The sequence below is a fragment of the Homo sapiens genome, chromosome 7 (assembly GCF_000001405.40).
Source record: "Homo sapiens chromosome 7, GRCh38.p14 Primary Assembly".
Lineage (NCBI taxonomy): Eukaryota > Metazoa > Chordata > Mammalia > Primates > Hominidae > Homo > Homo sapiens.
The window spans coordinates 29,019,976-29,035,861 of NC_000007.14; the positions used below are offsets into that span (position 1 = coordinate 29,019,976).

The window sequence follows — 15,886 nt, forward strand, 5'->3', positions numbered from 1 at the left end:
TTTCATCTCTAAATGTGTTTTGCATTCACAAGAAGAGTCAGCGGGTTGAGTGTGATATTTGCCACCAGTTTCTGACTGGCGGCCAATTCCTTTTACCACCTCTGTGGGACTTGTCGCCCTGAAGCAGCAATCTGGCCTCCCAAGCTGGACGTTTTATGCAAAGAGCCAAGCAGGACACATGTGGGATGCCAGGCCTGGGAGCATTTCACAAGGCTGGTTCAGGGGATATAAAATAACAGGTGGTGGAGGCAGCCATCAAATAATCTTGAGGAGATCGTGTGTGTGCCTGGTGAGATGTTTATCACAAAGTAGTGTAGCAGATGGGGGGAGGTAACATGTCCACCACTCCCTGGCAGCTCAACATTCAAATATGCCCTTAATGGCCTGAATATTAATATTCCAACTTTCCCTTATATGTTGACTTTCAATAAACATATTTTCCTGAATCCTGACTATTACTATTTATAATTTTTTCTTCGTTATATGTACTCTTGTAAGCAATCCAGGGTAATAATAATAAAAATAAAAATAGCAAAATTTACTATGAGCCAGGAATTGCTCTAAGCTTATTAACTTATCCAAACCCTCTCAACAGTCCTATAAGGATACCATAGTGGATGGCTTAAACAACAGGAATTTATTTCTCCCATTGGATGCATATTTTAGAAATAAAGGCTAAAAATTCATGTTGTTTTTAAAAAAACAATAGTCACACACAATGAAAAGAATAGCAGGAAGATAATAAGGATAAAGCACAAATTAATAAAAGAGAAAGCAAAAATATAATCAAGAAAAATAAAGATAAAAATTGGTTCTTTGAAAAGAATAAAATTGTTAAACCTCAGGCAAGAGAGGTGCTAATTACTAAAAACACCAGAGATCTTAAGAAACATTAAATCATATTAAGATGATGTTACAGGCCGAGCGTGGTGGCTCATACCTGTAATCCCAGCACTTTGGGAGGCCAAGGTGGGTGGATCACTTGAGGTCAGGAGTTCGAGAACAGCCTGGCCAACAAGGTGAAACCCTGTATCTACTAAAAATACAAATAAATTAGCCAGGTGTGGTGGTACATGCCTGTAGTCCCAGCTACTTGGGAGGCTGAGATATGACCTCATGTCCTAGAAGGCGGAGGTTGTAGTGAGCCAAGATCATGACTGGCAGACAGAGTGGGATTCTGTCTCAAGAAAAAAAAAAAGATGATGTTATAAAGCAACTTTATGTCAATGAATCTGAAATTTTGGATGAAATAGACAAATTCCTGAAAAAAAATTACAGCCTATGAAAACTGACACATGAAGAAACAGAAAAGGTAAGTAATCCCATATCTACTTTAGAAATTGAATCTGCAATTGAAAACCCTCCGTTGGAGGGGCTTCAAGATGGCTGCCTGACGCACCTGGCTGTCACCTCCTTCACGAAGAAGGACCAGAATGGCAAATAGATAATTAGATGTCAAATAGAACATCTAAAGAAAACAATGGAATTCAGCAGGAAAGTGACTGGGAACTTCTGAGGCATAGAAGGAAAGGGAAGTGAAGCAGCTAACCCAGCCAAGATCAACTCAGAGCCAGGGGAAACTCCCACTGTGGGTAAAAGGTAAATGAGAGATTCCCAGCAGTCAGCAGTCCATATTCCCACCACAGACTCCTATAATTTTAGCCACAGGAGAGCCCCTCAGCCCTCACAAGCCCTGAGACTAGTATAAAGAGATGCCTGGAGTCCATGTAATGACATTGTTCTACAGAAGATGTTCACACTGGGTCCCACACATCCCCTGAGATTCAAGCAGCTACGGCATGGTGCCATTTTGAGAGGCCGGCCCCCACCAGACTACATCACACCTTTGGGGCCCAATACCCACTACATATCTACATCCCTGAACCCCTGCAGACACCCCCCTACATCTACTCAAAGGTTTACAGCATCACGATACTGGCTGGAGCCAGCAGTGCAGATGCGTCCCCAAAACTTTAGCTCATGCAATGTCTTACGCCCCAAGGAATGGGTAGTGAAACACACTGGGGAGGCTGCCCTAGGGACAAAGGGAGCCAAAGCATGTACTCTCCAGAGCCTGAGAGCTGCCTGCCTGGGGCTGTTGCCACTGACAGCAAATCCTTACCCCCCAGCAGCAGGGTGGCTGCACACCTGCACATATCTTAACAGGGCCTGGGAACTGGCTCACCCAGGCACTGTCCAAGGACCTGAGGACAGGCCCATCTAGCCTGCCTCTTGGCCCAAGGACACCATCCAAGGTCCTGGAGATCAACCCGGTCTGCTTGCCACCAGGAGACCTAAAAACAGGTCTGCCTGTCTGCCACCACCACCAGTGCCCACACGCATCATCTGGGAACCAGGAGGCCGACCTACCACCCCCACTGCCACTGGTGCCCACATACATCATCAAAGTGCCTAAAGATACCCATTGCTACTACAACTGGCATCCTAGTGTGCCATTTGAGGGCCTGGGGATTGATCAACCACACACACTGCCACACGCATCACCCACATATGCCATCTAGAGGCCTAAGCATAGGCCTGCCTCTGCACTGCCTTCACCTGTGCCCATGAACATTATCCAGGAGTCTAGGGATTGACCTACCCCACCCACTGCCACTGGCATGCATACATGCCTTCTATGGAGCTGACAATGGGCCCGCACAGGTTGCCAGTGCCTGTGCATGTTGTCTGGGGGCCTGGGAATTGATCAGCCCTGCCTGCCACAGCCTTTGTATGCACACACCATTGAGGGGCCTGAGGACAGCTCCAGCTCACCTGGCCCCACCCTCACCAGTGCCTGTGGGCATTGTCCAGAGGCCTGGGAATATGCCTGCCCTGCACATCCACACCTGGGGGTGCTAAGGACAGGCCTCCCCAGCCTGCCAGTGCATATGCACATTATCCAGAGGCCTAGAGATCAATACACCTTTCCCGCCAATGCTGGAGCCCATGCATTCCTTCCAGGGACCTGAGGATGTCCACTCCCAGCCTGTTGCCATCACCTCCACGAGCAGTCACCTGTATATGTACCACCTTGGGGCTGGGGGACTGGCCCACCAAGTTTGCTGCCATCAGTGCTAGTGCCCACTACTGCTATCGCCATTGGTGATGCCATGCACACTGCCCAGGAGTTCAGTGATCCACTTGCCAGCCTGGCCTACTGCTGCCACTGCCAGCACTTTAGCAAGTCACCTGGAAGCCTGTATTAGTCTGTTCTCATGCTGCTAATAAAGACATACCTGAGACTGGGTAATTTATAAAGGAAAGAGGTTTAATGGGCTCACAGTTCCACATGGCTGTGGCAGGGGGGCTCACAAACATGATGGAAGGCAAAGGAGAAGCAAAGGCCCATCTTATAGGGCAGCAGGCAAGAGAGCTTGTGTGGAGGAACTCCTTTTATAAAACCATCAGATCTCACAAGACTTACTCACTATCACGAGAATAGCACAGGAAAGACCTGCTCCCATGATTCAATTACCTCCCACCGGGTCCCTTCCATGACATGTGGGGATTATGGGAGCTACAACTCAGGATGAGATTTGGGTAGGGACTCAGCCAAATAATATGAAGGCCCAAGGATCAGCCCACTCAGACCTGCTTCTACCAGTTTCCATGTATGCCACCTGGGAACCCAAGAAACAGCATACTGGTGCCAAAGAACTGGCCCACCTGGTGTCCCAATCCATAGCAAAACCTCACTACAGTGTCTACTAAAAACCACAGCCTAACCCACTGAGGAACTCGAAGATACCACTGACACTGATTATAGCTGAAGAAGTCATCTGAAGACTACATTACTGTGCCCACCCAAAATCAAAACCAAAGTGCCCTACACAACCAACCCTACAGACACATCTATTGGAAAACATCTTTCCTACAAAAGTCAATTCAAAAAATCAGAAGAAGGGACTGTTACACCAGATTCACAGATATCAATGTAAAAACAAACAAACATGAAAAAGCAAGGAAATGTGATATGTGTAAAAAAACAATAATTCCCTAGTGACAGATTTCAATGAAAAATAAATCTATGACATATCTGGTAAAGATTTCATAATAGTGTTATTAAAGAAGCTTAGCGAGATACAAGATAACACAGATAAATAATAGAAGGAAATCAGAAAAACAGTTCATAATCAGAATGAGAAATTCATCAAAGAGACTGATACATAAAGAAGAACCAATCAGAAATCCTGTAACTGAAGAATTCAATGAATGAAACAAAAAAATATAATCAAGAGCTTCAATAATAGAGATCAAGCAGAATACTTTTTGAAGTAGAAGAAATGTCTTTTGAAATAACTCAGACAAAAAAGTACATATATATAAAGTTTAATAAAGAACAAAGAAAGCCTACATGACATATGGAACACCATAAAGCAGGCAACCAAATATTCACATTTTGGGTGTTCCAGAAGAAGAAGAGGTAAGCAAAGGCATAGAAAGCTTACTTAATGACATTATAGCCCCAAACTTCCAAAGTCTTGCAAGAGATATAGGCATCTAGAACAGGAAGCTCAAAAATCTCCAAATGGATTCAATCCAAAAATGTCTTCTCCAGGGCATATTATAGTTATACTGTCAAAAGTCAAAGACAAAGAAAGAATTCTAAAATTAGCAAGAGAAAATTGTCAAGGCACATATAAGGGAATCCCCATCAGACTAACAGTTTTCTCAGCAGAAACTTATAAGCCACGAGAAAATGAGATGGTATATTCAAAGTGCTGAAAGAACAAAACTGACAACCAAGATTACTATACCCACAAAGCCATCCTTCAAAAAAGAAGGAAAAAGAAAGTCTTTCCCAGACAAGCAAAAACTGAGGACATTCATTACCATTGGACTGGCCCTACAAGAAATGCTTAAGGCAGTCCTATAACTGGAAGTGAAAAGACGATACCTACCATCAAGAAAACATGAAAGTATAAACTCACTGGCTTCTCATAAATGAGAAAGAGAAAAGATTCAAATGTTACCACTACAGAAAACCATCAAACCACAATGATAAGCAATAAAAGAGGAAGAACGGAACAAAGGATATATAAAACAACCAGAAAACAATGAACAAAATGGCAGAAATAAGTTCTCACCTATCAGTAATAACTTTGAATGTAAATGGATTAAATTCCCCACATAAAAGACATAAACCGGCTGAACGGATAAAAATAAAATATGATCTAACTATATGCTACTGCGTTAGGCCATTCTGCATCATAATAAAAACATACCTGAGGCTGGGTAATTTATAAAGGAAAGAGGTTTAATTGGCTTACAATTCTGTAGGCTATACAAGTATGGCACCAACATTTGCTCAGCTTCTGATGAGGGCTTCAGGAAGCTTACAATTATGGCAGAAGGCAAAGTGGGTGCATGTGTTTCACATGACAAGAGCAGGAACAAGAGACAGAGATGGAGGAGGTCCCAGACTCTGTTAAATACCAGGTCTCACATGAACTGAGTGAAAACTCACTTATCACCAAGGGATTGGTGCAAAGCCATTCATGAGGAATCTTCCCCATCACACAATCACCTCCCATCAGACCCCATCTCCAATATTGGGAATCACATTTCAGCTTGAGACTTGGAGGGGACAAACATCCAAACCATATCAGCTACCTGCAAGAAACTCACATCAGCTGCAAAGACACATACAGACTGAAAGTAAAGGAATAAACAATTATATTCCATGTAAACAGAAACCAAAAGTGAGAAGGAGTAGCTGTACTTAGATAAAACAGATTTCAAGATAAAAATTGTAAAAAAAAGTTTTCAATTTAGCAAGAGGATATAACCATCCCAATTATATTAAATATATGCAGCCAACACTGGAGCACCCAAATATATAAAGCAAATAGTATTGGATCTAAAGGGAGAGATAGGCTCCAATACAATCATAGTCGAGGACTTCAACAAACAGTCTCAGAATTGGCCATCATTTAGACAGAAAAATAAGAAAGAAACGTCAGATTTAAACTGCACTTTAGACAAAATGGAACTAACAGACATTTACAGAACATGTTATCCAACTGCTACATAATGCATTTTTTTCTCATCAGCACAGGAAACATTCTCTAGGACAGATCACTTGTTATGCCATTAAACAAATCTCAACAAATGTAAAATAATCAGAATCATATCAAGTATATTCTAAGACTACAATGGAATTAAACTAGAAATCAATACCAAGGAAAACTTTGGAAACTGTATAAACACATGAAAATTAAAAACATGCTCCTGAATGACCATTGAATCAATTAAGAAATCAAGAAGAAAATTTAAACATTTCTTGAAACAAATGAAAATGGAAACGCAAAATACCAAAACCTATAGGATACAGCAAAAGTAGTGCTAAGATGGAAGTTTATAGTAATAAATACCTACATCAAAAAAGTAGAAAGTGTTTAAATATACAACCTAAAGATGCATCTTTAAAAAACTAGAAAAGCAAGAACAAACCAAACCCATTATCTTTTGTTCTAAACCCAAAATTAGAACAAAGGAATAATAACAATCAGAGCAGAACTAAATGGAATAGAAACTAAAAAGAAATACAAAGGATCAATGAAATAAAAAAGCCTGTTTTTAAAAAAGATAAATAAAATCAATAAACTAGACTAGGCTATACTAATCAAGAAAAAAAGAGAGAAAACCCAAATAAATAAAATCAGAAATGGAAAAGGAGACATTACAATCGATACCACACAAATACGAAGGATCATCAGAGACTATTATGGACAACTTTAGCCTAACAAACTGGAAAACCTAGGGGAATGGATAAATTCCTGGACATATACAGCCTACCAAGATTGAACCAGGAAGATATAGAAAACTTGAACAGACCAATAAAGAATAATGAGATTGAATCAGTAATAAAAATTCTCCCAACAAAGGAAAGTCTAGACTGGATGACTTTTCTGCCAAATTCTACCAAACTTATATGAAAGAGCTAACACAAACTCTTCTCAAACTAATTCTTTAAAATTAAAGAGGAGGCAATTCTTTCTAATTCATTCTACAAGGCTATCATCCTGATACGAAAACCAGACAAGGACACACACAAGAAGAAAACTACAGGCCAATCTCCCTAATGAATATAGATGTAAACATCCTCAACAAAATACTAGCAAACAGAATCCAACAACACATCAAAAAGATAATACACCATAATCAAGTGGAATTTATCCCAGAAATGCAAGGATGGTTCAACATATGCAAATCAATAAACATGATACATCACATCAACAGAATGAAAGACAAAAACTGTAAGTTCATCTCAATAGATTAAGAAAAACATCTGATAAAATCCAACATCCCTTCATGATAAAAACTGTCAACAAATCAGGCATAGAAGGAACATACCATAACGTAATAAAGGCCATATACAACAAACATCATCATACTGAATAGGGAAAAGCTGAAAGCATTTCCTCTAAGAATTGGAACAAGACAAGAATGTCCCCTTTCACCACTCCTATTCAACATAGTACCAGAAGTCCTAGCCAGAGCAACTGGGTAAGAAAAAGAAACAAAAGGCATTCATACTGAAAAAGAGCAAGTCAAACTGTTTCTCTTTGCAGCTGACACGATCTTTTATACAGAAAAAACTAAAGACTCCACCAAAACAATTTTAGAACTGATAAATGAATTCAGTAAAGTTGTAGGATACAAAATCAACATACAAAACTCACTAGCATTTCTATATACTAATAATGAACTAGCTAAAAAAGAAATCAAGAAAGCAATCCCATTTACAATAGCTACAAAAGAAATAAATAACCTTAAAATAGATTTAATCAAGGAGGTGAAAGATCTCTACAAGGAAAACTATAAAATGCTGATGTAAGAAGTTGAAGAGGACACAAACAAATGGAAGACATCTCATGCTCATGGATTGGAAAAATTAATATTGTTAAAATGATCATACTGAATAAAGCAATCTACAGGTTCAATGCATAACTATTAAAATACCAATGGCATTTGTCACAGAAATAAAAAGACCCCAAATAGTGAAAGCAATACTGAGCAAAAAGAACAAAGCTGGAGGCATCACACTACCTGATTTCAAAATATACTACAAAGCAATAACAACCAAAACAGCAAGGTATTAGTACAAAAACAGGCACATAGACCAATGGCACAGAATAGTAAACCCAGAAATAAATCCACATATTTATAGCCAAATAATCTCTGACAAAGCTGACAAGAACATACACTGGGGAAAGGACACCCTCTTCAATGAATGGTGCTGGGTAAACTGGGATCCATATGCAGAAGAATGAAACTAAACCCCTATCTCTCACCATATACACATAGAATAAGCTCAAAAACGAAACCCCTATCTCTCACCATATCCATGTAAAATAAGCTCAAAATGGATTAAAGACTTAAACATAAGACTCAAAATGATAAAACCACTAGAAGAAAACAGGGGAAACACTTTAGGACACTGGTGTAGGTAAAGCTTTTATGGCTAAGACCCCAAAAGCATAGGTGATAAAACCATAAACAGACAAATGGGTCTATATTAAACTAAAAAGTTTCTTCACAGCAAAGGGAACAATCAATAGAGTGAAGAGACAACCTGTAGAATAGGAGAAAATATCTGCCAACTATCCATCTGACCAAAGACTAATATCCAGAATATACAAGCAACTCAAGCAACTGAAGAGCACAAACCATAAATAATACCATTAAAAAGTGAGAAAAGGGCCAGGCGTGGTGGCTCAAGCCTGTAATCCCAGCACCTGGGGAGGCCAAGGTGGGGCAGATCACGAGGTCAGGAGATCGAGACCATCCTGGCTAACACGGTGAAACCCCATCTCTACTAAAAATAGAAAAACTTAGCCGGGTGTGGTGGCAGGCGCCTGTAGTCCCAGCTACTCGGAAGGCTGAGGCAGGAGAATGGCGCGAACCGGTGTGGTGGAGCTTGCAGTGAGCCGAGAGATCCTGCCACGGCACTCCAGCCTGGGCAACAGAGCAAGACTCCATCTCAAAAAAAAAAAAAAAAAAGTGAGAAAAGGATCTTAATAGACATTTCTCAAAAGAAGACATACAGGTGCCCAACAGGTATATGGAAAAATCTCAGCATCACTAATCATCAGGGAAACGCAAATTAAAACCACAATGAGGTATCATCTCATTGGAGTTATAATGGCTATTACCAAAAAGACAAAAAATAACAGATGCTGATGAGGATGCAGAGAAAATGAACTCATACACTATTGGTAGGAATGTAAATTAGTACAGCCATTATAGAAAACAATATGGAGGTTTCTAAAAAAAACTACAAATAGAATTACCATATGCTGCAGCAATTCCACTACTTGATATTTTTCTAAAGGAAAAGAAATCAGTATATTAAAGGAATATCTGCACGCCATGTTTATCATAGTACTATTCACAATAGCCATGACATGGAATCACCCTAAGTGTCCATCAACAGATGAATGGATTTTAAAAATGTGGCATATACACACAATGGAATATTACTAAGCCATAAAAAAGAATGAAATCCTATCACTTGCAGTGACATGGATGGAACTGGAGGTCGTTATGTTAAAGGAAATAAGCCAGGCAAAGAAAGACAAATATCGTATGTTCTCACTCACATGTGGGAGCGTAAAAAGTTAATTTCATGGAGGTAGAGAATAGAATGATAGTTACCAGAGGCTGGGAAGTGGGGATGGGTGGGAAGACGAAGAGAGATTGGTTAAGGGGTGCAGACAGTTAGATAGAAGGAATAAATTCTAGTGTTCAATAGCACAGTAGGGTGACTATAGTTAAGAACGATATATTGTATATTTCAAAATGGCTAGAAGAGATTTGAAATGTTCCCAATATAATGAAATGATACATGTTTGAGGTGATGGATATCCTAAATACCCTGATTTGGTCATTAACATTAAATACATGTATCAAAATATTACATGTATTCTATAAAGATGTACACTTACATATCGACAACAACAACAAAACCCTTCCCTCAAACAAATCTCCAAGCCCAGATGGCTTCACCAGTGAATTCTCCTAACACTTAAAGATACCGTTTCCAACAACAGAAAGAGGAAACACTTCCCAACTTATTTTATGAGGCCAGTATAACCATGATTCCAACACTTGAAGAGGACATTGCAAGAAAGGAAGATGATGAGAGTAACATCTGACCCCGCAGTGGAAGTTGCACTAGGGTGTCAGCTAGAGAGATTTTGTCCTGAGGCTCCACATGTAATATAAAAATGTGATCATACATTTGCCAGAGGAGATTGTGTTGAAACTTCCTTTATAATTTGCCAAGTTCTCTCCCCAAATAGACTGCAATTCTCTCATTAATGATTTGCCTCTTTGGACTGAGCACTGTCTTTTTAATGAATTGTCTCCTTACCTCTTGAACAATGCCTAAACTTTTGTCTGGTTTTATATTTAGTCCTATGTATGTCTGAACTCAGACCACTCTTCTCTGTGGAAAGTAGGGCCACAGAAGACACACACTGGCTGTTGTATGGCTTTGCTTAAGGTCGGCCATGTCTCATTGCTATTCAGGCTTTATTTTCAATCCCGCTCTCCCATTCCCACAACCTGCCTGCTCCCAAGCATCTTCCTACCTGATGGAAGTCACCCGCTTGCCGGATGTAACCAGCCACTTCACTGTCAGATTTAAAGATCTTCCAAACTTTTTTTTCTGCCTTCTTGTATTCCTGGGATCCTTTCCAGTCCATGCCCATCAAGGAGCGCTCTGTCAGGGCAGCTGCCACGATGATGTCCAGTTGGCCATTGTAGATCAGAACCTGAAATGAAATCAAGCCATCAGCAAATGCAAGATTCAGGAGGTGAAGCTCATGAATCGAGCTAGGTATAAATAGTGAGCCAGTGAGAGAGAAAAAGAGACATGAATCTCTCTGAGATTTTCTTCTAGTTAGCCATAAAGAATAACAATCCGAAATAAACTCAAGCCTTGTCTCTACCACTGAATTCTTCATAGTAATCTGCATAAAGGCCTCTCTTGGTTGCAAAAACATTTGTGTTGTATTACTCAGTGATACATATATACAGGTTTTACTTGGACTTATGGCTATGTTAAGAAGGAAGACTGTGGTTACATTTTAGTGGAACTAAGGAATACTACCCCCTAGGATTTTCATGAAGCCTGCATTTCATTAACTTCAACTTCAGGCAGTGCAGTCGCTGGCAAGCTGAGCTTTCTCTTGGGTATTGCTAATCCATATTGCTCTCCTCTCCTACATTGATTTCAGTAGCAAGTATAATTTTTTTGCAGCAGCAGACAGAGAGATTCAGGTGCCTCAAATTTGTTTCTTATTGGAAGCAACTATGCCTGCCATGCCACTTGCAAAACTTCCTTTTTAAAAATATGATAGCTGCTTGTCAACAGTGAGGAATGTTCTTTCTTCCTAGAATACAATTTTTTGTATGTGTCAAACTGATGTTTATCATAGGAAAAACAACACTGAGGTAACTCTTTTCATTAATCCTAAAGCAATTTTCAATTTGCTTGAAAAAATAATTCAGATAATTCCCAATTCTGATAAAGTTGTAGAACTAATGGGGACAGTATAAAATGGCTCTTCTTTTCAGAAAATCAGTAGCCAATTTTCTGCCCCCAAACTTAAAAATGTTGAAATTCCTTGTCCCAGTAATTTCAACTTGTAGAATATATTCTAGGAAAACAGGTCCAAAGAAATTTTAAAAAATTATATATATTCATTGAGTCTTATAATGAAAAACTCAAACACAATCCAGAAGTCCTATAATTGAGTAGGTAAATGCACAACAGTATAAGAATTCTATAGGATATTATAAGACCATTTAAAATGTTTCATTGAACCATGATGCAATGTGGGAAATACTTATCACATAATGTTAAGTATGAAAGCAGAAAGTCAAGTATAATGTATATCACAACTATAACTATAAAAATCAATGTACATATTCACATATATGGAATACAAAGTTTGAAAAATGTTAATATTTAGATGGTGGAAATCTGAGTAATATACTCTCCTTTTTTTCTACTCTTACGCTACTTTTATGCAACTAACATATTAATTATCATAAAGTATTGCCACTCCACCTCCAACAAAGAGGTCGGCCTCAACTCCATGCTACTTTTGATCTATTTGAAGGCTCTGATTTGGCCCGAGTGGAGACCTTTGGTTGAATCCTCAAATTGGATATAAAATATTTCACTGCATAAGTTTCCGTCTTTCCCTTTACGGTGCGGGTTCTTAAAAGGCTCAAACATAATTAAAAAGCCCAGGACTTTTACACACTCCAAATCCTCAAGCAGCAGTGGGACAGCAGTCAGACTAAGATGAAAGAGCCCTGGGCCCCCACTGCAGGAACACGGGGCCTTTCATGTTACTCAGTCACCATCACCACCCCCACTCTCCTAAGAAGAAACCCACAGGAAAATCCTGATAGATTTAAAGCCTGTTAAAAAAATTCAACTGAACTCCAGTAATAAAATATTTGCATTGTTTATATAGAGAAATTACCTCAAAGACCTTGAGTACTCATGGCCTCTGCAAAACCTCCTATAGTTGTTTTGGCCAACAGTATGGAAACAATTATATATGATTAGTACCAGTGAACAAGACTTAATTACTTCACCATTCTACGAAGACCTGATTATAGCTGATTAGCAAAGATCATCAAGCATAAAGTGATTCTTCTTCTAGAATTCAGTGTAAAAGATGCTGATCAATCAGCAAATTCATAGTGCATCCATTTAATTTTACTCTCCATGGCCACTACAGGCAGCTTGCATCTCTCATGTGTCTCCCACAGCTTTCTTTACTGACAATCATTACTATATTTTGAAATCAATGTGATGTTTTTTTCATCCTTAAGGGACAATAGCAAAGTCCCCATGTTACAGCAAAAACACATTTATATGTACAGCATTATATTACATGTTGAACTGACATGGAATGAGGACCATCCCTGAGTTGTTAGTCAAGACTTATCTTGTTAGTCAAGACTTATCATAACAAGAGCACCAACTCTCTGGACCAAGAAACAGCAAAGAGCTGAATTGCACAATCTCGCACAGGCAATGTGTAGAAGGTCTACTTTTGGGTACAAATGGAAATCCTTCCTTTGCAAAGCAAGGAAACCATTTTGTATTTCTGAAGGGCACATAAGTCAAATGCAACAAAAAAGAAATCAGAATAACGATCATGAGAAGTGATTTCAAAGGCAGGCCAGCATTAAATATAAGAATTCCAGAGCTCTTATTTGCACCTAAATGTCACATTTACTCTCATGAGCCCCTATAGGAATATCCCAGTTAGGTGCCTCTAGGCTGGGTGAGTGGATGAGATAGCCTAGGACCCAGTGGCTGAGCATGAGAAGCAGGTGGGCACGGCATAGGGGTGGTCCTGAAGCCCAAGGGCACACGCTGGCTACCCACATCCTGATAGAAAAGTTCCAGGGAGGAACTTAGCTCTGACAAGGACAGGTTGGCCAAATATGTCTACACACTCATCCCACTTCTCCCCCGGTAGGGTGACCAACTGTCCCAGTTTGCCCTGGACAGGAGTTGCCCAGCAAGACATGCAGTGCTAAAACTGGGACACTCTGGAGCAAACTTACCCCTAAGGCTTGCTGGTATTTTAAGCAACAAGGTCTAAAGACAGAAGGGAGGAGACAGAGATGAATGCAGCTTTTAGCTACACTTCCCTTGTCAATAGTGATTGGAACAAAACAAGGAACAAGGAAAGAGCTGGTTGGAGTTGGTCTCCAGCGACGTACTAGGCAGTGCCCTGAACATGCATTTCCTCACTTTCCTTTCTGGTCAGCTGTAGGCCTCTGGTAAGGGAGCAAAGCCACTGCTTTTAGAGACTTCTTTTACTCCTTAGAGGGCTGGCTGCTTAGCTTAGTGAAACTGATGGTTATGCAATGTCACAGAAAAATGCTTATCTTATGAAAAAAATCAATGAAAAACTGAGACTTCACTTGTTTGTACTCTAATTATCACATATTTAAAAATGCTTCAAACCTGGGGAAAGAACAAATCAAAATACAGTTATTTGAGCTATGGTTGATTTATTTTAGATTGGCTATCTTCTAGGTTTCTGTTTTGTTTTGTTTTTGGCAAATGTGGTTACAATCCTTTTTTTAAATTTTTTTTAAGAGACAGTCTCACTATGTTCCCCTAAGCTGGAGTGCAATGGCACAATCTTGGCTCACTGCAACCTCCAACTGCTGGACTCAAGCCATCCTCCCATCTCAGCCTCCCGAGTAGCTGGGACTACAGGTGCATGCCACTACACCCAGCTAATTTTTTTGTATATTTTGTAGAGACGGGGTTTCGCCATGTTGCCCAGGCTGGTCTTGAACTCCTGGGCTCAAGCAATCTGCCCACCTCAGCTTCCTTCCCAAAATGCTGGGATTACAGGTATGATCCACCGCACCTGGCCATAGAATGCTTTTTATTTATTGATTTATTTTTCTTCAACTTTTAAGTTCAGGGGTATATGTGCAGGTTTGTTACATAGGTCAATGTGTGCCATGGTGGTTTGCTGTACAGATCATCTCATCACCTAGGTATTAAGCCCAGCATCCATTACCTCCCTCCCCCTGCACCCTCCTGACAGGCCCCAGTATGTGTTGTTCCCCCCATGTGTCCATGTGTTCTCATCGTTTTTTACAAAATAATTCTTTAAAAAGTTTAATTAATTAATTAATTTAGAGACCAGGTTATGAGACTGGCTATTTTTCGTATTTTTGGTAGAGACAGGGTATCACCATGTTGCCAAGGCTGCTCTCAAACTTCTGGGCTCAAGTGATCTACCTGCCTCCTTAAAGTGCTGGGATTACAGGCATGAGCCACTGCACCCAGCCTAGAATGCTTTTATAATGGAAAAAAAAAAAAAAAAGAACAATAATGCTATGAGGTTGGATACCTCAGTTTGGCAAAAGATGAGTCTTTTGGAGAAATAATTTGTAAGAATTCAAATACTACCATACCAGCTCTCATTTTTTTTTTCATGACAACTAGGTAAAAAGCTTAATTTTAATTCATAGACAGTCTTTAAAAACTCATTCCAGAATTCAAGCCTTTCCAAGAGACGGCATTTGGTGACTTGGACCACAAGCATCTTTTTCTTCCTCTTTGTCAAAAGGCAGAGATGAGAAAAGCATCTTTATTATTATTAATTCTTTCTTGCTTTTCAACCTGCTTTCATGTGCATAGAGCTTTATTCTTGTACTGCTTCACAAGGTCAGGAACAGAAGTGTTCCACTGTCCGCCTCCACTTTACTGTTATGGAAACTGTGATACTGTGAGGCAACAGAATGAGTCCTAGATCCCGACTTCCACCCTTCTACCTAAAATTTTTCCTTAAGAAAAGAGCTAAAGTTCCTTCAAACCAACAAGCATTTATTGACTCCCTGCAGCTAACCATTTAGTGCTACCAAAAGCTGCTGGAAACTGAGAGTTAGTTGCATATGAGACACAGTTCACATCTCCGGTTCAGAAACAATCTTGCTCTGTTTGTCTGGCCCTGGTGACATCTCTTAGTCACCTCTCACTTTGGCTCTATGGACAGGATGTGTGTGAGGGCATTACTCACAGTTGGTGGGGAGTGGCCTTGCTAAACCGCTGTGAAATACCAGCAGTGCCTTAAAAACAGGAGCTCCCGAGTGCGTGCTACATCCCCAGGCCTTGCACAGTGCCTGGTACCCCATAAAACCGATGGACAATTACAGGGTATGGATTCTGCTCTTTAATGGTTTCATGTGGTGCTGTATAGTGACCATCTGCTGCTTTTGCATGCCCAGGTCCACTCTCCCTTCTCCTGGAAACTGTACTTTGTGGGTCACCCACACCTTCAGTGGATACAGCCCTGGTGGGAGTTGTCAATCACAG

General features: G+C 40.1%; 1 protein-coding gene across 21 annotated transcripts in view, besides 2 other annotated features; it reads right to left on the reverse strand.

Moving 5' to 3' along the window:
* Positions 1-15,886, reverse strand: part of CPVL (carboxypeptidase vitellogenic like) — a 200,816-nt gene that overhangs the window by 25,340 nt on the left and 159,590 nt on the right. For all 21 annotated transcript variants that reach the window (NM_001371268.1, NM_001371258.1, NM_001371256.1 and 18 more), the window contains one exon: positions 10,602-10,784. In NM_001371268.1, the coding sequence (NP_001358197.1) occupies positions 10,602-10,784 (183 nt within the window). The remainder of the gene's footprint in view (positions 1-10,601; positions 10,785-15,886) is intronic.
* Positions 1,727-2,495: an enhancer, noted in NCBI's record as "H3K4me1 hESC enhancer chr7:29061318-29062086 (GRCh37/hg19 assembly coordinates)". NCBI's record gives its function as "activates a minimal SCP1, AML or CMV promoter by ChIP-STARR-seq in naive H9 embryonic stem cells {active_cell/tissue: H9 hESC(naive)}" and the evidence as "EXISTENCE:reporter gene assay evidence [ECO:0000049][PMID:30033119]".
* Positions 2,496-3,263: an enhancer, noted in NCBI's record as "H3K4me1 hESC enhancer chr7:29062087-29062854 (GRCh37/hg19 assembly coordinates)". NCBI's record gives its function as "activates a minimal SCP1, AML or CMV promoter by ChIP-STARR-seq in primed H9 embryonic stem cells {active_cell/tissue: H9 hESC(primed)}" and the evidence as "EXISTENCE:reporter gene assay evidence [ECO:0000049][PMID:30033119]".